This window comes from Homo sapiens, chromosome 8 (assembly GCF_000001405.40).
Source record: "Homo sapiens chromosome 8, GRCh38.p14 Primary Assembly".
Lineage (NCBI taxonomy): Eukaryota > Metazoa > Chordata > Mammalia > Primates > Hominidae > Homo > Homo sapiens.
In genome coordinates this window covers 5,864,638-5,889,030 of record NC_000008.11, presented here as the reverse complement: position 1 = coordinate 5,889,030, position 24,393 = coordinate 5,864,638, and the positions used below count along the sequence as shown (strand labels likewise).

The 24,393-nt window shown below is 36.1% G+C and overlaps 1 long non-coding RNA gene across 5 annotated transcripts in view; it reads left to right on the top strand.

Moving 5' to 3' along the window:
* The window catches only part of LOC105377795 (uncharacterized), a 145,951-nt gene that overhangs the window by 115,196 nt on the left and 6,362 nt on the right, over window positions 1-24,393 (top strand). For 3 of the 5 annotated variants that reach the window (XR_001745767.1, XR_001745765.1, XR_001745766.1), the window contains one exon: window positions 11,498-14,089. The exons of 1 other annotated variant lie outside the window; for it this stretch is intronic. This is a non-coding gene — a long non-coding RNA (uncharacterized LOC105377795). Of the gene's footprint in view, window positions 1-11,497; window positions 14,090-24,393 lie in introns of those variants that run through there. One more of the 5 variants, XR_941374.2, reaches the window with a different exon arrangement.

Genomic DNA, 24,393 nt, shown 5'->3' with positions numbered 1-24,393 from the left:
AAAAAAAAAACACCTCTATTTGTAACTACATTCAGATAATTATACTTTCTAAAAACTTTAAACATGAAATGACTTACTGTGATCTTTCTGAAAATGTTTTTCAGAAGTATTTTTTTTAAGTGATAAAATTTCTTCTCATTAGAAATCAACTGGGAGACATAAGATTTAAAAAAATTGATATGTGAGTTGAATTCTTAAGAACAATTGTATCTTGATTTGCAATGCCAAATGTTTTGAAGTTGATGGGCACATTTTTTATTAGGGAATGGAAGCTAAGAGTTGAAAAATGTTAAAGAACTATAAAAAGCATGTAATCTATTTTAGGGTCTTTACAAATTAATTAAGAAAAATTAGTCACTAGGTGGTATTCAAGAAAAAGTCTATTATATCCATACAAACCCTTGTACACAAAGATTCATACCAACACTATTTATAGTAGCCAAAACAATGAAAACTCAAATGTCCATCAAGTGAAAAATAGAGAAACAGAATATGGTGCATTCATACAGTGGAATACCAAAGTACTGCAATATGTAACAACACGGAGGAAGAACAAAAATTATCATATGTGAAAGAAGCCAGGCATAAAAGACCACATATTATATGGCTCATATATATGAAATATCTTCAAAATGCCCATTAATAGAGACAGCAAATATGTTAGTCATTACCTGAGGTAATGGTAGACACATCGAAATGATGGTATTGCTATGACTTGTTGTAAAAAATACAGTAGGGTTTTTGTTTTGTTTCATTTTGGATTTCATTGGCAGGAGGGTTTATTGTTTGTTTGTTTCTGTTATTTTCACCAAAACATATTTTCCCGAATATGTTAGAAAAATAAGTTGAAGGTTCATAAAAAGTTAGGTTTATGTTAATATTTTATTAATCATTAATGAATTCATTTGCTTTCTGGCAATGTAAGAAAAGTGAAGGCCGGCTGTGGTGGATCATGAGGTCAGGGGATGGAGACCTTGCTGGCTAACACAGTGAAACCCTGTCTCTACTAAAAATACCCGGCATGGTGGCGGGCGCCTGTAGTCCCAGCTACTCGGGAGACTGAGGCAGGAGAATGGTGTAAACCCAGGAGGTGGAGCTTGCAGTGAGCCTAGATTGCGCCACTGCACTCCAGCCTGGACAACAGAGCGAGACTGTGCCTCGTCTCAAAAAAAAAAAAAAAAAAAAAAAAAAAAGACACTGATCTGGTGAATTAAATATCAATTCATAAAATAATTACATTTAATACTTAATATTTTGAATGATAGTTTAAATAAAAATAAAATGCCTAATGTCTGTGAGAACATTTTTTTAAATTACGCTTTAAATTCTGGGGTACGTGTGCAAAACGTGCAGGTTTGTTACATAGGTATACATGTGCCATGGTGGTTTGCTGCACCCATCAACCTGTCATCTACATTAGGTATTTCTCCTAATGCTATCCCTCCCCCAGACCCCCACCCCTCAACAGCCCACAGTGTGTGATGCGCCCACTGTGTCCATGTGTTCTCATTGTTCAACTCCCACTTATGAGTGAGAACATGCAGTGTTTGGTACTCTGTTCTTGTGTTAGTTTGCTGGGAATGATGGTTTCCAGCTTCATCCATGTCCTGCAAAGGACATGAACTCATCCTTTTTATGGCTGCATAGTATTCCATGGTGTATATGTGCCACATTTTCCTCAGTCTATCATTGATGGACATTTGGGTTGGTTCCAAGTCTTTGCTATTGTGAACAGTACTCCAGTAAACATACGTGTGCATGTGTCTTGATAGTAGAATGATTTACAATCCTTTGGGTATATATCCAGTAATGGGATTGCTGGGGCAAATGGTATTTCCAGTTCTAGATCCTTGAGGAATCACCACACTGTCTTCCACAATGGGTGAATTAATTTATACCCCCACCAACAGTGAAAAAGTGTCCTATTTCTCCACATCCTCTCCAGCACGTGCTGTTTCCTGACATTTTAATGATCGACATTTTAACTGGCGTGAGAAGGTTTCTCAATGTGGTTTTAATTTGTATGTCTCTAATGACCAGTGATTATGAGCTTTTTTTCATAAGTTGGTTGGCTGCATATATGTCTTCTTTTGAGAAGTGTCTGTACATATCCTTCACCCACTTTCTGATGGGGTTGTTTTTTTCTTGTAAATTTGCTTACGTTCTTTGTAGATTCTGGATATTAGCCCTTTGTCAGATGGATAGATTGTAAAAGTTTTCTCCCATTGTTTAGGATGCCTGTTTACTCTGATGATAGTTTCTTTTGCTGTGCAGAAGCTCTTTAGTTTAATTATATCCCAGTTGTCAATTTTAGCTTCTGTTGCCATTGCTTTTGGTGTTTTAGTCATGAAGTCTTTGCCCATGCTTAGGTCCTGAATGGTATTGCTTAGGTTTTCCTCTAGGGTTTTTATGGTTTTAAGTCTTACATTTAAGTCTTTAATCCATCTTGAGTTAATTTTTATATAAGGTATAAGAAAGGGATCTAATTTCAGCTTTCTGCATATGGCTGGCCACTTTTCCCAACACCATTTATTAAATAGGAACTCCTTTCCTCATCACTTGTTTTTGTCAGGTTTGTCAAAGGTCAAATGGTTGCAGATGTGTGGTGTTACTTCTGAGACCTCTGTTCTGTTCCTTTGGTATATATATCTCTTTTGGTACCAGTACCATGCTGTTTTGGTTACTGTAGGCTTGTAGTATAGTTTGAAATCAGGTAGCGTGATGCCTGCAGCTTTGTTATTTTTGCTTAAGATTATCTTGGCTATGCGGGCTTTTTCGTTCCATGTGAAATTTAAAGTAGTTTTTTCCAATTCCGTGAAGAAAGTCAATGGTAGCTTGATGGGGATAGACTTGAATCTATAAATTACTTTGGGCAGTATGGCCATTTTTACCATATTGATTCTTCCTATCCATGATCATGGAATGTTTTCCGTTTGTTTGTGTCCTCTCATTTCCTTGAGCAGTGATTTGTAGTTTCACATCCCTTGGAAGTTGTATTCCTAGATATTTTCTTCTCTTTTGTAGCAATTGTGAATTGGAGCAAAGTCTGAGGATACAAAATCAATGTGCAAAAATCACAAGCATTCCTATACACGAATAACAGAGAGCCAAATCATGAGTGAACGTTTCTTAAATTATATGTATGAGAATGCCTAAGATACTGAGTTTCATCAAGAGTAAAGAATGCCTGAGAAATCAATGCTAGCAACTAATGTGGAAAAAAAATGGCCATACTCTAATGTAGCTGAAAAGCCTTTTTTCCCTGAAAACAGTGAAATTATATTAAGTGACTCTGTATCCTAAGTATTGTGCAACACTATATTTAACACTCAGTTATCTTATTATGTAAATATGTTAATTTAAGAAAATAACCCCCGCCCAGCTTCTCTTAGTGTGAACATCTTATGTAATCATACTGATTTTATGCATACTATGACATTAGAATTAGACAAAGCTTGGTGGCATGTGCCTGTAGTCCCAGCTACTCAGTAGGCTGAGGTCAGAGTATCACTTGAGCCCAGGAGGCAGAGACTGCATTAGCTGAGACCTAGACACCGTACTCGTGAAAGAGAGAGGGAGAGAGAAGAAATTAGCATATACTAAAATACTCATGACTAACTCTATAGGTTTTATCTGGGTTTCACCAACATTTCTACAGTGTACCTTTTTGAGCTTCAGTACCTAATCCAGCAGACCATGTTACATTTAGCCATTTTGTCTTAGGAGGTGTCTTAGATTGAGGAGACTAATTCTTTACTTGTTTTCGCAACCTTTGCTTTTCTAAATAGCCATTTAAATTAGACAATTCATGAACAAAAGTGTGCAGAAGACCCTGGTGGAAAAAGCACCATGTGAAAAATAGTTGAAAAGTTCGGTATAATAAACACATTTTTCATCAATGATCATGAATTCTGGCTCTTCAATTCAGAATAGAAATTATACCCTATTACAAGGGTAAATATCACACATTAATATAAAAATATAAAATATTTAATTAGAGCATAGAATAGCACCTTTAAATGTATTCTGGGTATACAGAGAGCTATTTAATGTTTCGTTAGGATTTCTCAATTATTCTAGTTTGTGTAGACAGTCACTCTACAAATGCATATTCATATAAGCAAATAGTGCTAATGAATACTTATAGTCAATATCAAGTATTGACACAGCCTGGTGTCTAAATTATCTTTCTGGTAAGGTACACTTTATGTACCCAAGGAACCTTTCTTTCAACTCTCAATATGTTGTCCTATTTTTAGCGTTGCTATCTTAGAGTAATTGTAGGTATAATTTGAATAAGAATTCTAACTATAATCCTAGAAACCTTTAAGGTTTTTATGCAAACGGTATCTGGTGCATTTGAGGATGGAGGATTGAGGTTCTTGGACACTGGGTTGGTGATTCACAGTAAACAGATGTTTAATAAACTATCACCCACACTGCTGGTGATTGTGGCATTATCATCTAGTTCAGTCTCTAACGAGTCTTGTGAGAAAGGTATTTTCTTCATGTTTATTTTTATTTCAGTCCTAGGGTACGTGTGCACAACGTGCAGGTTTGTTACATAGGCATACGTGTGCCATGTTGGTGTGCTGCACCCATCAACTCGTCATTTACATTAGGTATATATTTCCTAATGCTATGCTATCCCCACTCACCCCACCCCACAACAGGCTCCGGTGTGTGATGTTCCCCTTCCCATGTCGAAGTGTTCTCATTGTTCAATTCCAACCTCTGAGTGAGAACATGTGGTGTTTGGTTTTTTGTCCTTGCGATAGTTTACTGAGAATGATGGTTTCCAGTTTCATCCATGTCCCTACAAAGGACATTAACTCATCCTTTTTTATGGCTGCATAGTATTCCATGGTGTATATGTACCACATTTTCTTAATCCAGTGTATCAATGATGGACATTTGGGTTGGTTCCAAGTCTTTGCTGTTGTGAATAGTGCCGCAATAAACATACGTGTGCATGTGTCTTTATAGCAGCATGATTTATAGTCCTTTGGGTATATACCCAGTAATGGGATGGCTGGGTCAAATGGTGTTTCTAGTTCTAGATCCCTGAGGAATCGCCACACTGCCTTCCACAATGGTTGAACTAGTTTACAGTCCCACCAACAGTGTAAAAGTGTTCCTATTTCTCCACATCCTCTCCAGCACCTGTTGTTTCCTGACTTTTTAATGATCACCATTCTAACTGGTGTGAAATGGTATGTCATTGTGGTTTTGATTTGCATTTATCTGATGGCCAATAATAGACAAACAGAGAGCCAAATCATGCATGAACTCCCGTTCACAATTGCTTCAAAGAGAATAAAATACCTAGGAATACAACTTAAAAGGGATGCGAAGGACCCCTTCAAGGAGAACTACAAACCACTGCTCAACGAAATTAAAGAGGACACAAACAAATGGAAGAACATTCCATGCTCATGGATAGGAAGAATCAATATCGTGAAAATGGCCATACTGCCCAAGGTAATTTATAGATTCAATGCCATCCCCATCAAGCTACCAATGACTTTCTTCACAGAATTGGAAACAACTACTTTAAAGTTCATGTGGAACCAAAAAAGAGCCCGCATTGCCAAGTTAATCCTAAGCCAAAAGAACAAAGCTGGAGGCATCACGTTACCTGACTTCAAACCATACTACAAGGCTACAGTAACCAAAACAGCATGGTACTGGGACCAAAACAGAGATATAGACCAATGGAACAGAACAGAGCCCTCAGAAATAATGCTGCATATCTACATCTGATCTTTGACAAACCTGACAAAACAAGCACTGGGGAAAGGATTCCCTATTTAATAAATGGTGCTGGGAAAACTGGCTAGCCATATGTAGAAAGCTGAAACTGGATCCCTTCCTTACACCTTATACAAAAATTAAAAATTAATTCTTCATGATTTTATGGCTGAGGAAACTAAGGTTCAGAGAATGAGGTAATTGCTGTAGTCATATGGCTGACATGCAATTGAGTAAACAGACCCAATTTTGAATAGAAACACAATCCTCCTTTCGCTGTATTCTTCAAACCCTCTCACAAAGCACAAAGATTTTTTTCCAGCTGATTTTTGTTTCTTCCCCAGATCATAAATTGCATCTTCTCACGGGATGCATTCTTAGGTGTGTTGCATATATTTTCAGTCTTTAAGCAAGAGAGAATTGCACCATGATGCTGAAAAAAATGCAGTGAGTGTAGATGTATGTTTTTCTGTGAAACATTTTTTCCCAGTAATGACCAGAAAATGACACCAGTCTGATTCTCCTCCCCCCATCTTTTCCCCCCATGTGGCTTGCTCTCTTCTGTCTGGGTTGAGCCCTCTCTCATCAGCACCTTCTTCTTTCTCTGATGCTGTTACTGCTTCCAAGATCTCCCTAAATCTGAGGACTGTTTCTCCATTATCTCTCAGCTTTGCTTTTCTTTCCTTTTAAAGTCCCCAAAGCCGTGGTCTTTACCTGCATGTTTTCTGTATTATCTACATTTCTTATTCTTACTATCTTTTGTTTTTAGCTTTTCATTTCAGCTCTGGTCACTTTGTTTATTGCAGCACAATTGGGTAGTGTTTTCAGGCAAAGCTCAGTAATAATATCATTGGAGATGAAGATAAAGATCATTTGATAATAAGATGGTCATGGCTATGTTCCAGGAAAAGGAAATTCAGGTACAAATACCTTTAAAACGGAATTTAACGTGCAAGTATTTTTTATTTCCTTTTAATATTTAACAAACATAGGAAGAAGATGAAGTTCTTCTAAAGAGTGGAAAATATATATTCAAAGAACTACTGTGTGTTCCATATGGAAAACAAAATAAGCAATTTGCTAATATTGTATATTGAGTAGTGTTGCCTAAATAACATATAAGCAAATATAAAATTGACATGTAAAGTGTGCTTTAAAGACAGTTATGCTGGAAAATGCATCTGTCCCATCCTAGCAATTGTCCATACTTAATATTAAGGATTTCTTAATGTAATCCTTGGTAATCTGATAATTATCTCATAGAGAAATATGGAACCTGATCAGATAGTCTATGTAGACTATAAATTAACTTTTAAAAGTTAATGTGCATTAATTAAGTGATTTCACAAGAGCCACACTTGACTTAAATCCTGTAAATTCTTAGATGAAACCAAAACTCCAGTGACAAAAGAAACATAAAAACTTTTGTGCTTCAAAAGACATATCAAAGAAGAAAAAAACAACCTACAGGATATGAGGAGTCATTTACAATTTATTGCATATAACTAACAGGGACTGTATCTAGAACATGTAAAGAATACTTGCAACTCAATAAAAAGGCAAGTAACCCAATTGAAACATGGGTGGAGAATTTGAATAGACAATTTTAATTCTTTTTTTATTTCTGCAGGTTACTGGGGAACAGGTAGTGTTTGGTTATATTAGTAAGTTCTTTAATGGTGATTTGTGAGAATGCGATGTACACATCACCCTATTAATAGGATATGCTGCACCCTATTTATAGTCTTTTATCCCTCACATCCTTCGTACCTTTTCCCTCTGAGTACCCAAAGTCCACTGTTTCTTCCTTATGCATTTGCATCTTCAGAGCTTAGCTCCCACTTATGAGTGAGAACATACAACATCTGTGTTCCCATTTCTGAGTTACTTCACTTAGAATAATAGTTTCTGATCTCATCTAGGTCACTGTGAATGCCAATAATCAATTCCTTTTTATGGCTGAGTGGTACTCCATCATATATATATATATAGCACAGTTTCTTTATCCATTTGTTGACTGATGGACATTTGGGTTGGTTCCACATTTTTGCAATTGCAAATCATGCTGCTATAAATATGCGAGTGTAAGTATCTTTTTCGTATAATGACTTCTTTTCCTCTGGGTAGATACCCAGTAGTGGGATTGCTGGATCAAATGGTAGTTCTAGTTTTCGTTCTTTAAGGAGTCTGTCCATAGTGGTTGTACTAGTTAACATTCCCACCAGCAGTGTGGAAGTGTTTCGTATTCACTGCATCCATGCCAACATCTACTTTTTTTTGATTTGGGCCATTCTTGCAGGAGTAAGGTAGTTATAGCACTGTGGTTTTAATTTGCATTTCCCTGTTCATTAGTGGTGTTCAGCATTTTTTCATGTTTGTTGGCCATATGTATATCTTCTTTTGAGAAGTGTCTATTCATGTCCTTAGCCCACTTTTAGATGTGATTTATTTTTTCCTTGCTGATTTGAGTTTGTTGTAGATTCTGGATATTTGTCCTTTGTCAGATGTACACATTGTGAACATTTTCTCCCATTCTGTGGGTTGCCTGTTTACTCTGATTGGTCCTTTTGCCATGCAAAAGCTCTTTAAATCCCAGCTACTAATCTTCATTTTATTGCACTTGCTTTTGGGTACTTGGTCATGAAATCTTTGCCTAAGCCAATGACTTAAGGGTTTTTCCAGTGTTATCTTCTAGAATTTTTGTAGTTTCAGGTCTTAGATTTTAGTCCTTAATCCATCTTGAGTTCATTTTTGTATAAGGTGAGAGATAAGGATCCAGTTTCACTCTCCTACATGTGGCTAGCCTGTTATCCCAGCACCATTTGTTGAAAAGTGAGTCCTTTTCCCACCTTGTTTTTGTTTGCTTTGTTGAAGATCAGTTGGCTGTAAGTATTTGGGCTTATTTCTGGGTTCTCTATTCTGTTCCATTCGTCTATGTACCTATTTTTATACCAGTACCATGCTGTTTTGGTGACTATAGCCTTATAGTATAGTTTGAAATCAGGTAATGTGATTTCCTCCAGATATTTTCTTTTTGCTTACTAACACTTTGGCTCTGTGTGCTCTTTTTGGTCCCATGTGAATTTTATAATTGTTTTTTTTTTTCTAATTCTGTGAAGAATGATGCTTGTATTTTGATGGGAATTGGGTTGAATTTGTAGAATGTTTTTGGCAGTATGGTCATTTTTACAATATTGATTCTACCCATCCATGAACATGGGATATGTTTTCATTTGTGTCGTCTATCATTTCCTACAGCAGTGTTTTGTGGAAGTTCAGTCAGGCTGGTGGGAAAAATTTTAAGATGGAGTTATGAGATATAGACAGAAATCTTCTTGGAAGGTCAGAAGGTTCTGCAAAATCTCAGGATAGGGTTATGGGTGAAAGCAGTCTAATCCTTACCTTGAATAAATAGCTTAAAGTGGGTACAATGGAATGTACAGTAGTTTATCTAAATAGCTGGTTTACTCATGTGGTCCTAAGACCAACCGTTGATCAACAGTGAGTGCACAATTGCTCTCTACTCAGGGGGTCGGAAACCAGGTCAGTTACCCTCCAGTGGTGTTTACTCAAGATCTTTGTCATTTAACCTGTACTGAATAAATGCAAGCTTTGCTGGCTGATCAGGGCCATGGGTGCTACTCTTTATAGCACCTTCTTTAGTGTCTGTGAGGGGCCCAGATCCCTAGCCAGACTGACAGAATATCTGGGTCAGTGTATGTTATTCATCTGCCATTGGGTCACGGCTCTGCAGGACAGACCCCGCAGCTGGTGCCCCATGTGAGGCATGCTGCAAAGGGAGCATGATGGACCCTTTGAAAATGCAGGTGAAAAGGACTGTGTGGTCAGTGAGTCATTGTTGCCCACTTGGGGTTTCCAAGTTTTGGAGGGGAGTGTTTAGGCTAAAGTTTCATCATGGGACAACAGCTATTAGCTCAACAGAAACAGTATATAAAAGTATTGAAACAGCTGCCTAAGGCTCGTGGAGCCTCAGTTTTGCAGGCTCATATAAGGGATCTAATGCGAACTGTTGTAAACCATAATCCATGGGTCCTGAAAGAAGGTATGTTAAACATAAAGCTCTGTGAACAAGTGGGGAGAAATCTTAAACAACATTATCCACAAGGGCAACGGGTCCCAATAACAGCCCTAACCCTATGGGCCTTATTTAGAGTGGCCCTGGCTCCATTATACACAGAAGAACCTAAAAAGGGGAAGGAGGAAGAACTGTCACCTACTTTACTACACCCAAGTCCCTCAGCCCTACTATCACCGGGTCAAAATAACAAAGAGGAAACGGAGTTTTTGCCTGAACCCCTTTCTCCAATAAATAGGAAAAAAGATATGCTCCAGCTATAAGACCCTGTCTTAAGAAAGCAGCATTAAAAGGGGAGCTCTTAGCTTGCTAGGTAATGCAAGATCAACAAGGCAACTGGGCATATGGACCCAGTATTTTAACTCTTATAAAAAGATTAAAAAAAAAAAAAAAAAAACCATTAGAGGCAGGAGCCTTGCGGCCAAGTGACCAGTAGGCAAAAAGGAATGCTCGGCGGTGGGAAAGCTCACAAACCTAGAACTGGTGAGTTCTACCTGCGAAGTGGCAGTGGGGATGGGAAGCCAGGCCCAGTGCACTGGAGCTAGCCTTCTGGGGAGATGCAGGAGGCATGCGCAGGAAGGTCCACCTGGCCAGCAGCAGCCCTCTGGAGGAAGGGTGAGGGAGTGGCACAGGTGAAAAGCGGCGCAGACAAAAAGCAGCAGCGCTTAAGCAAGTGCAACACAGCTGCTGCCCCGGGACCTGCCTGCTCAGCTCTCCATCTCCGCAGGCAACCCATGGCAAAATTTCATGTGTTCTTTGTATACAAGAACATTCCAGATTATAATTCTCTGCTAAGATTTAAGTAAACTTTAAAAATTTGAAAGACCTATTTCTGATAATGGCCACAGCTGTTAGCTCTCTCCAAATCCAATTTAAGTAAAGCAGTAACCTTTAAAGGGAGAGAAATTACAAATTCTACTAAGCTGCAAAATCTGTTTTCTATCTTAAAGGGCAATAAAACCCTAGATTCTCCCAAACATTTAACCCCAGCAGCAAAAAGGGAAATCGAGGAAATAGAACAAGCTATCTCTCTAAGGCAACAAGATAGCATAGATCCAGGCTACTCAAGTCATCTGTTTATTTTTGCCACCAAACACTCCCTTTCAGTGTTAATAGGACAGATCACCTCAGGGCTACGCTTACTAGAATGGGTTTTTTTGCTCACATACCGGAACTAAAACACTGTCTCCCTATATCCAGTTCCTTAGGAAAGTCATCCATTCAGGTCACAAACGATGCACTCTGTTGCTAGGTTATATTCTAATATTAGGATTCCTTTAAGTAAAAAGCAATTCAAAGCAGTATTGCCAGTATCTATAGATTTGCAAATAGCACTCTCTGATCACATCGGACAAATAGAGCATGTCCTTCCTGCTGATAAACTCCTTCATTTCTTATCTTGTACTCCTGTAATCTTGCCTACAAAAATAGCTCACTTCCCCATATCTAATGCTTTAACACTGTTTACTGATGGTTCAGGTAAACATGGAAAAGTGGCAGTCTGGTGGAGACCAGGTAATTCAATCACTTGATCTGGGTTTACTAGCACTCGGAGAGCGGAGATTGGGGCCCTGATATTGGCATTGGAAATGTTCCAGTCAGCCCATCAATATTGTGAGTGACTCTGCTTACTCTGTTTATTTATTGCAGAACCTTGAGACAACCCGAATTAAGTCCACTCTGGAGCCTGCCCTGTGTGCTCTTTTTCTCTGACTTCAGCAACTGCTAGATCAACATGCACATCCTATTTTTATTACGCACACTTCAGCCCCCAGCTCACTGCCTGGCCCTTTGGCTTATGGCAATAATCAAGCAGACCTCCAAGTTATGACATCACTGCTTGACCAAGCCACTGAATCACATCAATTCTTCACCGAAACTAGAGAAACTTACTGAACAATTTCAACTTACTCAAAGACTAGCTAAACAAATTATCCTGCAATGCCCAGATTGCCAGCTCACAGGCACATCCCTTCCTTCAACAGGTGAACCTAAACAATTATGGCAAACAGATGTTACACACATCCCTGAATTTAGAAAACTAAGATATGTATATGTATCAATTGATACCAACATTCATCTAATTAGTGCACACGCCCTTCCTGGAGAGTCCACTCGATATGTCATTAAACATCTTCTAATTTTTGTGGGCCATCCCATAAATGCAAAAGTTAAAACTGGTAATGGTCCAGCTTATGCCAGCTCACAATTTCAACAATTCTGTCATACATGAAACATCTAACATTCCATTGGTATGCCATATAACCCCCAAGGACAAGGCATAGTAAAACGTGTCTACTCCACCCTTAAAAAAATGCTCAAAAAAGGAGGAGTATGGGTAAAGACCCTGCAACACTATTGGGACAAGCCTTATTTACCCTTAATTTTCTAAATTTAGATGACAAATTTCAATCACCTATAGAAAAGCACTTTGTTAAAACTTCTCAAGACATAAAACCTGCAGTTTTATGGAAAGATGTAAACAGTAATGTATGGTATGGTCCAAATGAATTAACACGGGGAAGAGGGTATGCTTGTGTCCACACCCCCTCAGGTCCTCTTTGGATTCTAGCCCAATGCATCAACCCATACCATGGCATGGCTAGGAACTGACCCTGCAGGACCCACAGCCCCGGACGATGTGGCTTCCACGGTCGACATAAGCTCTGGATGTTACCTGGGGATGCTGAAGGAATCCTGCTCCAGACACAGACACTGTTCACTCCAGATAATTTACTCCTTGCTATGGTTTCTGTTGTACATTGCAACTCACCTAGGATATTGATCCTTTCTGTGTTTTCACTTTGTCTGCAACCTGTACCTGCTACACTCTATTGGGCTCATATTTTTCTTTTACCCTGTCACCTGGGCAGACACCCCCTGCTCAGCCTTTAATAATGTGACTCCTTGGCTAGGAGGGATAGATTTGCCCCCAGTGGGGTCCCTCAATCATGGCACACATTAGACTAAGGTGCCAGATAACACTACCTGTCACTCCACTATCCTCTCGCTGTGTAAGTTATAAAGGTTCGAATCCTTATTGTGTATCTGCCCAAACACAATTAAGGCTGTATTATGGCAAAAAAAAAAAAAAAAAAAAAAAAAAAGCCTTAAAAGTCTTAGTTGCAGGTAGCCTCAAACCAGGTAATGCAATCAGTGCTGCTTTTCCAAACATTGCTTCCTGTGCTAAAGAACAAAGCTGGGAAAGTAATGGATTGCACTTTAGCTGGGAGGTCTGTCATGGGGAACAAGCCCATAGCCTCCAGTTAGGCAATTATAACATCTTAGACTGGAGCCCCTGTGGCCGTTTGCAGGGCCAACTTACTGATGTCCTCATCCATAATGTCATCAATCCCAGTTTCATAGCCTCATCATATTCCCCTATGATTTGGGCTGATGAGGGGATGAGATACCCCAGACCCCAAGTAAAGTCCATGCCAGCCCAAGACACTTCATGGTACCTGGGGCATCTCAGCATCTCAGCATGGGACATATCATGATTCCAGTCACAACTATACGATAACGTTTATTCATAATCACACTGTTCAGTCCCTAATTTGCACTCCCCATCCATATGTTTTCCTTATGGGAACTGTTATTTCCATTACACCTCAAAACTGTGTTGCTGACCCAGGTGCAGGGAGAGGCTTGGTTTCCCTCATGACAATATGTCTAATTATTGCTAGTGTCATGGTATTGAGACAATCTGAGGCATTATTACCAGTCAATTTGACATGCAATTGGCGAGGTTTCTCTGCCTTTGCCTTCTTAGAACATGCCCTAACCCAGGTCAGACCCAAAAGATTCATAGATGCACTTATAGCCTTTATAATCTTAGCCATAGTCATCCCAGCAAGTGCTAGTGTGGCTATACCATCTATTACTGAATCAGTACAAACAGCTGCTATTGTAGATAATTTAGCCCGAAATGTGTCTAACGAACTTCTCTTACAGCAGGGTATAGATCAAAAGATACTTACATGTCTGCAAGCCCTCGAGGCTGGCTTGGAATATGTGGGGGAGTCACAAGATGCCCTGGCATTCTGATAGCAATTAAACTACGACTGGGAGCATAAACATATCTGTGTCACTTCTCTTCCATGGAATCAATCAATACATAATTGGGATGAGGTGAAACAACACCTCTGGGGAACCTTTCATGACAAGTCAACAGCAGATGTAAAGCAACTTAAAACTAAAATTTTAGAATCCCTTCCCACTACAGATCTATACACCCAACAAACAGCCATACGGAAGGGTGTGTGAGATCATCTTTCCTGGTTATACCTCTGCTTCTGGGGGTCACTCTTTGACTGGAAAAGAATGTTGCTAATTATACTCAAGATTGTCTTATGTTATTTGCTATTTCTAGGATGCAAAGTCGCAATAAGAGCAATGACCGCCTTGCCCCACAGACCTGTTGCTACACACATCTGTATGCTTCAGTCAACAGAACCCAAGGCAATAAAACAGAAAAGGGGGAGATGTGGGAGTTCAGTCAGGCTGGTGGGAAAAATTTTAAGATGGAGTTATAGGATATAGAGAGAAATCTTCTTGGAAGGCTGGAAGGTTTTACAAAAGTCTCAGGATAGGGTTATGGGTGAAAGCAGTCTAATCCTTACCTTGACTAAATAGCTCCAAGTAGGTACAAAGGAATGTACAGTAGTTTATCTAAATACTTTGTTTACTCATGTGGTCTTAAGACCAAGCTTTGATCAACTGTGGTTGCGTAATTGCTTTCTACCAGGAGTGGGGATGGGTAATTGGCAGCTAGGTCAATTACCCTCTAGTAGTGTTTACTGAAGACCTTTAATCTGTAATGAATAAATGCGAGCTTCACTGGCTGATCAGGGCGGTGGCTGCTACTCTTTACACACTTTCCTTAGCGTCTGTGAGGGGCCCAGACCCTTAGCCAGACTGACAGGCAGAATATCTGTGTCAGTGTACGTTATTCATCTGTTGTTGGGTCAGGGTCTGTGGGACGGACCCCTGTAGTGTTTTGTAGTTTTCCTTTTAAAGGTCTTTCACCTCCTTGGTTAGGTATATTACAAATTTTTGTTTGTTTCACAGCTATTTTAAAGGGGTTGAGTTATTGATTTGATTCTCAGCTTGGTCGCTGTTGGTGTGTAGAAGAGCTACTGATTTCTTTACATCTCCCATTTCATTTATTATTGAGCTTATTTGGATTTTCTTTCCTCTCTTCTTGGTTAATCTTCCTAATGGTCTATAAATTTTATTTATCTTTTGAAAGAACCAATGTTTTGTTTCATTTATCTCTTGTGTTATTCTTTGTTTGTTTTTTTTTTTTTTATTTAGTTGCACTCTGATCTTGGTTATATCCTTTCTTCTGGGTTTGGTTTGTTCTTGTTTCTCTAGTTCCTTGAAGTCTGGCCTTAGATTGTGTGTTTGTGCTCTTTCAGACTTTTTGATATAGTTGTTTAGGGCTATGAATCTTCCTGTTAGAGCTCTATATCTTGAAACAAATCCCAGAAACACATTAAAACATAACCTCTTTAAACCATAAATCTCACAGGACCTCTAAAACAAAAATACAATTTAAAAAACAAACAAACAAACAAAAAACAAGGTATACAGGCAACAAACAGCCCAATGAATGGCATGATACCTCTCATCTCAATACTAATATTGAACGTAAACAGCCTAGATGCTCCACTTAAAAGAGAATTTCAGAATGGTTATTAATTCACCAACCAACTATCTGCTGCCTTCAAGATACTCACCTAAAACTTAAGGACTCACATCAATTCAACGTAATTCAAGATACTCACCTAAAACATAAGGACTCACATAAACTCAAGGTAAAGGGGTGGAAAAAAACATTTCATGCAAATGGACACCAAAAGCAAGCAGAAGTAGGTATTCTTATGTCAGACAAAACAAACTTTAAAGCAACAGCAGTTAAAAAAGACAGCGACATTAATAATAAAAAAAAAAAAAGTCCTTATCCAACAGGAAAATAACACAATCCTAACACATATCCACCTAACCCTGGAGCTCCCAAAGTGCTAACAAATCAGATAGACAGCAATATAATAGTGGGGGACTTCAATACTCCACTGACAGCACTAGACAGGTCATCAAGATGAAGTCAATAAACAGTGGATTTAAACTATATTAACAGATATATATATAGAACATTCTTTGCAACAACTGCAGAATGTACATTCTATTCAACAGCACATGGAATTTTTTCCAAAACAGAACACATTGTCAGCCACAAAATCGGCCTCATAATTTAAATTTTCTTGAATTTATTATCAAGCACTCAATCAGACCACAGTGAAATAAAACTGGAAATCAACTCCAAAAGGAACCTTCAAAATCATGCAAATATCTGAAAATTAAATAATCTGCTCCTGAATGATCATTGGGTCAAAAATGAAATCAAGATGGAAATTAAAAAAAAAATTCTTCGAACTGAATGATGATAGTGACACAACCTATGAAAACCTCTGGGATGAATAGACATTTCTTCAAAAACATACACAAGTTGCCAATAAGCACATGCAAAGCTGTATGACATCGTCATTAGACACATGCGAATCAACCAAAACCATAATGAGATAGCCCTGAACATGCACTAGCATGGCTAGAAGCAGAAATCAGATAATAAGTGTTGCCGAAGATATGGAGACAGAACCCACACATACTGCTGGTGGGAATACAGTCTACCAGTTCCTCAAAGGTTAAACGTAGAGCTACCTTGTGACCCAGCAAGACCAATCCTATGTCTATAACCAAGACCAATAAAAGCATAACTCTACACAAAACTTACATGCCAATGTTCACAGCAACATTATTTGTAATAGCCAAAAGATAGAAACACCTTGCATTCTCAAGTGTCAAATGGATAAAGACAATGTATTATATCCAAACAATGGAACATTATTCTATGATAAAAAGGAATGAAATACTGATACATGCTACAATATGGAAGAACCCTGATAACATTATATTAGGTGAAAGAAGCCAGTCACACAGACACACACACAAAAAAACCAAAAAACACATATTAGAATGATTCTGTACATACTAAATGTCTATACAGAGAAAAATGGGTTTGTAGTTGTCTAGGGCTGGGAGGACCAGGGATTGGGGAAGTAGCTAAAAGGTAATGGGTTTCTTTCTGAGGTGATAAAATGTTCTAAAATTGACTGTGCAGATGGATGCAAATATCTGTGACTACACTTAATTACAATGTACATTTTAAATGAGTGAGTTGTATGGTGTGTGAATATTACCTTAATGAAGCTGTTAAAAATTTGAATTCAGAAAGTTTTAAAAGTCCAATATCAAATTTCAATATCTAATATAAAATGAAGATCTCACGAATACATTTCAATAGATATTATCACTAACTTTAATGGCTAATACTTTCTGAACTCTTCTGTGGCAGGCACTATTCTAAGATTTTGCATGTAATATCTTACTGTAAACAATTCCCTGGCAAAGTGGGTTCTGCTAATTATGAAAATTTAAACCATATGCATGCTAACACAGAAAGAAGTTAAACACACATTTCATGATTAACTGGTAGAGCATCAGGACAATAACCAAAAAAGTTATAATCTGTCTTTTGTTTATTATGCAGAAGTTTGGTCTCAGTAAGGATTTTTAAATTAATTATTTTCTTCTTTGGGTAAATTATTGAGAGGGGTGCTTCTCCAAGACATATCAGAAAGCTGGAAAGGAGTAAATTATAGGCTTGAGGATCTAAGGGTTCTGTGGCAGAATAGAAGTAATCTACAAGATTTAGTGAAAGAAAATTTGATGACAAAAGTTCAGCGGACCTAGAGAACAGCTGGTCCAAATTGAAATTGAATTATACAAGATTCTAGGAATACAATGACTTCAGAATATTAAGCTGAGAGAAAATACAAGCATTTGAAAAAATCAAGGATAGTTACTTTTCAAGCAAACAAGTTAAAAACACACACAAATGCATGCACAGCCAGAGAGAAGAGAGATAATTATATACTACTCAAACAAGAAAACTTGTAAAATAAATGAAATATGGTATATTTTGTGATTCACCTGTGAATGTTTACATAATCATAATAATAAAAATAGTGAATTGTTTTCACAAAAATTATTGCTAAATATTAAAAAGATGGGATTAAGAGAAATGTGTGTGGCTGTGTTTACAGGCAGGGCTGAGGGGAAAAGCTCTAAGGAAGTTGAACCCATCGTTCCCACTGTAGAAAGTCAATTAATGATACCTGTACACTAGGTATTATTGAAACAAACATCAATCATAATATAATGTTCTAAAAATATAAATATATACATGGTACACATACCAACTGACATAGTTAAAACAGGATCCCTTTAAAATCAATTTTTGTTTATATGATTTTTGTAAGTATTTGACTCATAGTTACATTTATTTTTATGTTTGATGAAAAATAAAATCTTGAAAAAATGAATGTGGAGGAGTACTACAAGAAATACGTACTCTTTCTCAGAGTTGGAGTCTACATTTTTGTCGAGATTTTTCTCTATGCTTATCTATTTATTGTTTTACTTTTAAAAGTTTTACAGATAAATTTGAGGCCCATCTCTCCTCTCCATTCAAAGGTGATTATTATCAGAAGAGTGGTATATTCCTTACCATCTTTAATTTTATATTTTAATGTATGCTCTGTTCATGTACAAAAATAGGTATTTTATAGGTTTTACATTTTTACATAAACGTGACGCACTACTTCAAATGTGAAAAAAAATCTTCTGAAAGATATTAGCCTATGACGGAATATGAAATCATATTCAGAAGTTTAGCACCAAAGTTATACTATGATTTTACCACACAGTTGTCTCCATATTTAATAAATTTCATGCATTTTACTTACAGTGAGACCCACCTGTTTTTATTTTATACCTATTGATATTATGTTATGCAATGCAAATTTCTTCCTGAGATCATGTCCCAAGCTCAGAGCAGCTTAGCTGCCAGAAAAGTTTTGATAACAGCAAGCAGTAACAAACCAACTGCAAGAAATGATGCAGGTAAAATACCCAACAAAGGCACGAGAAATCTGCTTTCTGAAGCCATTTAATGGACAGACAAATAGCTCTAAGTGCCTCAGTAGGATCTGAGTTAGTGACAAGAGTTATTTGATGTCCATAATGACAATAGTCTCACTAATAATAAAATGAGTGAAGTTCCATATACTGGAGGAAGATAGGAGACAGCGCAACAATGTTTAAAAAAGAAAGATTACAGTTAATGTTTCCAGTATAAGTCTTCAGACTAATTTTTCCAAGGATGTCAGAAAAACAAAAGGTTTCTGTGATTAGCAAGGGTTTTAGAAGAGAAAGTTTCCAATGACAAATGTAGTATATATAGATAAGAGAAGAAGAAGAACAAGTAAAAAATCTTGCAAAAGTAGGAAATATGAATATCCCACGAACATTCTTCAAGTAACATAAGGCAGGTCAAACTTATGAAGTAACATGATCCGTAAGAGTTGTTTCTTGGAAAACAAAAAGCAATTAGATTCATGAAACAAACACTTGTTATAAATGACTGCAAATAAAACACACTTCTCGTAGGAAAATACAGAGCTAGCTCAAAGTCAGCCTTAGACTTCTTCCTTGCATTTTATCAGCGTTGACTTTTACTCTGTGTCTCCACTTAAAGCTATAGCATGTGATTTGCCCAACAGGCCGGATGGGGTTTCCTTTTATTGTTGTGGATCCTAATATTTATTCTGTGCTAGAACTGTTTGAGAATCTAAAAGAAGATAGAAAATTCTGACTCAGTAAAAAACAATCTCACTAAATTATATGTGTCATTATATATGTTATATAATCTCAATAAAATTTTCTATTATTATCTCTGTAATTATAGAGAATTTTCTCTACATATTATATATAATTATATATAATTAGAATTCTCTATATAAATATATATATTCTCTATATAGAGAATTCTATATTTAATATATAGTTGTATAAATTATATACATATACTGGAGAATTTTATAATTTTCTCTATGATTTTATGTATTTATAAATATACATAAAATTCTATATATAAAATATATATAATTTGTATATTTATATTGATAATTTTATATCTATAAAAATTATAGAAAAATTTTTGAGTTTTTTTCTTTTTAAAATTTTACATGAAAATAATTTTTAAATGCTTATTTGGTTAAGGGTATTGAGCTCTCTGGCCTTTCTTTTAATGTGCACGCATTTCTTTTGAAAAAAAAGTGTGTGTGTGTGTATATAATTCTACATATATAATTTAGTGAGAGTGGTCTCTCTTTCAGGAAAGTCAAGAAAGATCAAGGACTCAGAAAAATCCGTTCTATTGATTCTAGGACATTTTATTTTAGTTTCTAATAGTTGAGGTGAAATATTTCCATGATTTAAGAAGAATATGCTTTTATTGGAAAACCTCTATTTAACTCAATAGTCATCTTTTGCCGGAGCAGTTGAGAAAGCACAGAGCCAGTGTGTTACACAGTCACATAGATGAGTGACCTGTGGCCACCAATGGGATCTATTTATAGTATCTTTGAGTTCCAAACCCTTTATACCTCTGGTCATAACTTATGTTAAATTGTTGGGTTTTTAAAAAATATTTTTTAAGCAGTATACTTCTCTGGACTGAGAGGGGAGATGATTTGAATAAATAATGTAGATCCATCTTATAAAAGAAAAAGTTAGTTTGTATGCTTATGATACTCTTCATCACATTTTACCCCAAGCTTACAAAGATAACATTGGATTCTCTTGAAAATTTTCTAATTAATTTCTTTTTGCAGTTGAGTCTCTTTCATTTGTAATTGAAATAAGACAGGGAGGTGGGAATATTGAAAGAAAGGGGAAGAGGAGAGGAGGTAACATTTAAAGATAATCAAGACATCAAAATACATTATGTAGCATTTGTGCAGTGAAAGACTCCACCTCCAATGACTCCTAGAATAACATACCACCATACAGAGACACCTACACATACTCTATTAAAAGTTTTGTGAATGATATTATCCCTTTTTTATAATTATTTGGAGCAACACACACATAGGTAAATGGTTACATAGACATTGATATTCAAACAACTTATGATTTACAAAATAACATTGTCATTTCTATATTAGTGAATTACACAGTATTTATCACTTATCTGCACTTTTCACTTATCTAAAAATAATCTCAATTTTTTTCTTTAAATAATAAATGGAGCAAAACTTGTGAACGTTATAAGAGAAACCAGATAGCTCAATAACCATAACTGAATAAGCATTCTAAAAATTATTTTCTTGTAAAATTTTAAAAAGGAAAAAATGCTCATGTTTAGGCTCTCTGAACTAAGTTAAACTTCAGTCAACTGGTTTGAAGTATACATACAAAAATATAAAATATATACTTATAAATACTATTCTGAGGACATTTAAAGACATTTCTAAGGATATATGGATACATGAAAAATTGATGTGCCTAAATATTATTTGATGAGGATACCACATCTTTTTTTAAGTTCACGTATACTGTTGAGAGGTAGTACAGTTCTGAATAAAATAGAATTTCCATAATACATAATGAAACGTGTATAGCATCTTCCTAGGATTTGAAAGTTTAAATTTACCATTGGCTTTGAATTATACAAGTCATACATTTCTTTTAAAAAAGAACATACTGAAGTCAAACACGGATTTCTTTGAACTGGGTGGTTTTTTTTTAGAAAGTTATAAGCAACTAAAAAAATGTGTTATAGCGAAAATCAATATTCTATATTCTGGTGTAACCCATATATCTCATATACACTATGCATTTGAAATGCAGATTTGCGATATTCATAACAATTGCTCCTTTCTCAAATGAACAGCATGAAAAGAGTATTAACTATAGAAGGCATAAACCTCGAACATAAAAAGTAAAACTAATATTTTACTTCTTAATATTCAGAAAATGGCATGTAAATCATTGCTCTAGCTTCAGAGCTAAAGACATCCATCACTCTCTGCATTTTGCACCTCTTAGAGTGAGGCTTTTCTACTCATCTAATATCGAATCCATTAGAATGTTAAAATAAATCTTAGAATGTTAAAATAAATCCAATGTATTCATCCTAATAAAAATCATTCATAACACAAAGACTGGGTCTTTTGCTTGTTTCTGCTAAAATATGTAGTGTACATATTGATCTTGTTCACTTACGGTATTATGGGAAAACAGCAGATATTCCAGTGGATTCAGAGATAAATTATTTTTGACCATTCCACATGTGTTACTTCTTATTTGCCACCAACAAATTCATACAGTTTGTTATTATAAAGTAACTTAAAGTGTATCATCTCATATTACTAATACAGTGCTAACACTATAGAATGTAAAAACTTAAGAAAATAGATTAAAAATTCCTTATAAAATATATGTTATTAAATAAATATCAGAAGGACTGAGTCAAACTAAGCCAAACTGGTCTCTTAATACTATAACTTATCAGAACTTTAATGTGTCAATGAAGACCATGAATTTCTAAAAGGAGCCTGTTGTATACATTCTTCCCATAACATCTATGACCACAGTTACCTTTTGGTCAATAGGATTTGCAAGACTCTCATCTTGCTCTGAAGCCCAGTGTTTAACAAAGCAATTGTTTCTTACTCATCTCTAAATCCTCAGATTTCATCAAATCCAATAAGCACTCACTAAATTCAGATGAATAATGAATGAATCAAATCTATATTGGCCCATAAAGTAGAATGACTACATGTTACATGCCTTTGAGTCACCATATTAAATGACTTCAAGAGACTGATGACAATCATCCAAAAGGATGTAATTCTTTTCTTCCAAACAAAATAATCACTTTCATAATCTTTTGGGATGCAGATACCATGAAGTTAAATAGGAGGCTGGATTTCAGAAGTGTTTATTTGATGGTTACAAATGAGTGGTCAGACATATGAAGCAGCTAAGGTATTAAATTCAAACACTTTTCTAAGTTTATGCACGGAAGATACTTCCATAAGTTTTGTTACTGAAGAAAATGTGCTAATTTTATCTAATATAATATGATAATCAGGTTTATAAAATGTCAGAATTATCTATGATAATCTGTTTATACAGTAAATTCTTATTAAAATATGAATTAGGTGAAGCTTATTATTTGTTTACTTGAGGGCTTGTTGATTCTTTCCAAAATAGGTGCCAATAAACACTGCCAGAAAAGAATCAGATATGTTTGGACTGTCCTATTAAAATCCATTCATTTGTTTACATATTATTCATCCACTGTTCTCTTTCCTAATAGCTGTTATTTATCAGACACTATCCTAGGTGCTAGGGTGACAGAGATGAATAAGCCCAAGTCTCTGCCAAGGAGAAGCTCACAGATGTCAAATTATGCTGGAAAACAGGGGCCAAGATAGTGAAGAGCTGTGTTTGCATTAATAGAACTTTGAAAGGTTAGGGATAAGTAATACAAACTTTTGACTAGAGGAGTTTGACTGAATATATTTGAAGGTGGTAAAAGGCTGATTTAAAGCCATATACATAAAAATAAAGAAGTGGATTTATGAGACTAGGAAGAAGAAAGGAGTTAATAAGACTGAGATTATATGTATCTATGAGAAATATCTGCCAATATTACAGTTTCTTCTGAGTGTCTTACTTGAAAAACTAGATAGGTAGTTGTTGCATGAAATAAGGATCATAGAAGGCTAGAAGTAATTATAAATTCACAGAAATTATCTTTTATTAGAAAAAAACTTTTGACAAATTAAATTTAGTGGAACTTATGTGAGTAGAGAACAATTAATTCATAAATCAGTAGCCCCTAGGATCAGCGGAGGTTCAGAAAGCTCCACCCATAGCCAGTATGTATAGTCTGAAAACAAGCAAAGTAGAGAAATCGCTTGACTGACTACAGCTAAATGTGTCTTATTTGGGCATGATATGAGTTGGCTGTCTTTGACTGTCTGAAACATGGCTACTTATGATTGGCTGAAATTTGCTATTAGGTTTTGGTTTACATACTAAGTTAGATTGCAGCTTGCTACTTATAACTACAAGGTAAGAGACAATCTCAGCCTAAGTTTAAGTTAATTTATCAGTTATAAGAGGAGGCAATTAGTCTTGGGCATCTGGAGTTTATGAGACAATTCTAGACAAGAAAGAAAGATTTAAGCATGTGGAGGTTAAAGCCACCCCCCCAATACACACACACACGATGAGAGTCTACAAAAAAGGTGAGTGACAAGTACAGAAACTTAGGGAATAATAACATTTAAGACTAACATAGTGAAAATATGATTTTAGTGTTCAATACAGAATTTATTTTAGATGGTACTCAAAGTTTAATATAAGGTGCAGTACTAAGGATAATTAGCATAATTGTCTTCATCAGTGATGACATAGAAAAGTCACAATGAGTCTTAACTTATTAGGCTAAACATTGTTTTTCAGACTTATCTATCTGTATAGAAATTCTGAGTTAGGGACTAATAATTGGAAGACTTTTGTGTAATGCAAGGGAAACTATATCAAACATGTTTATAAAGTTGAGT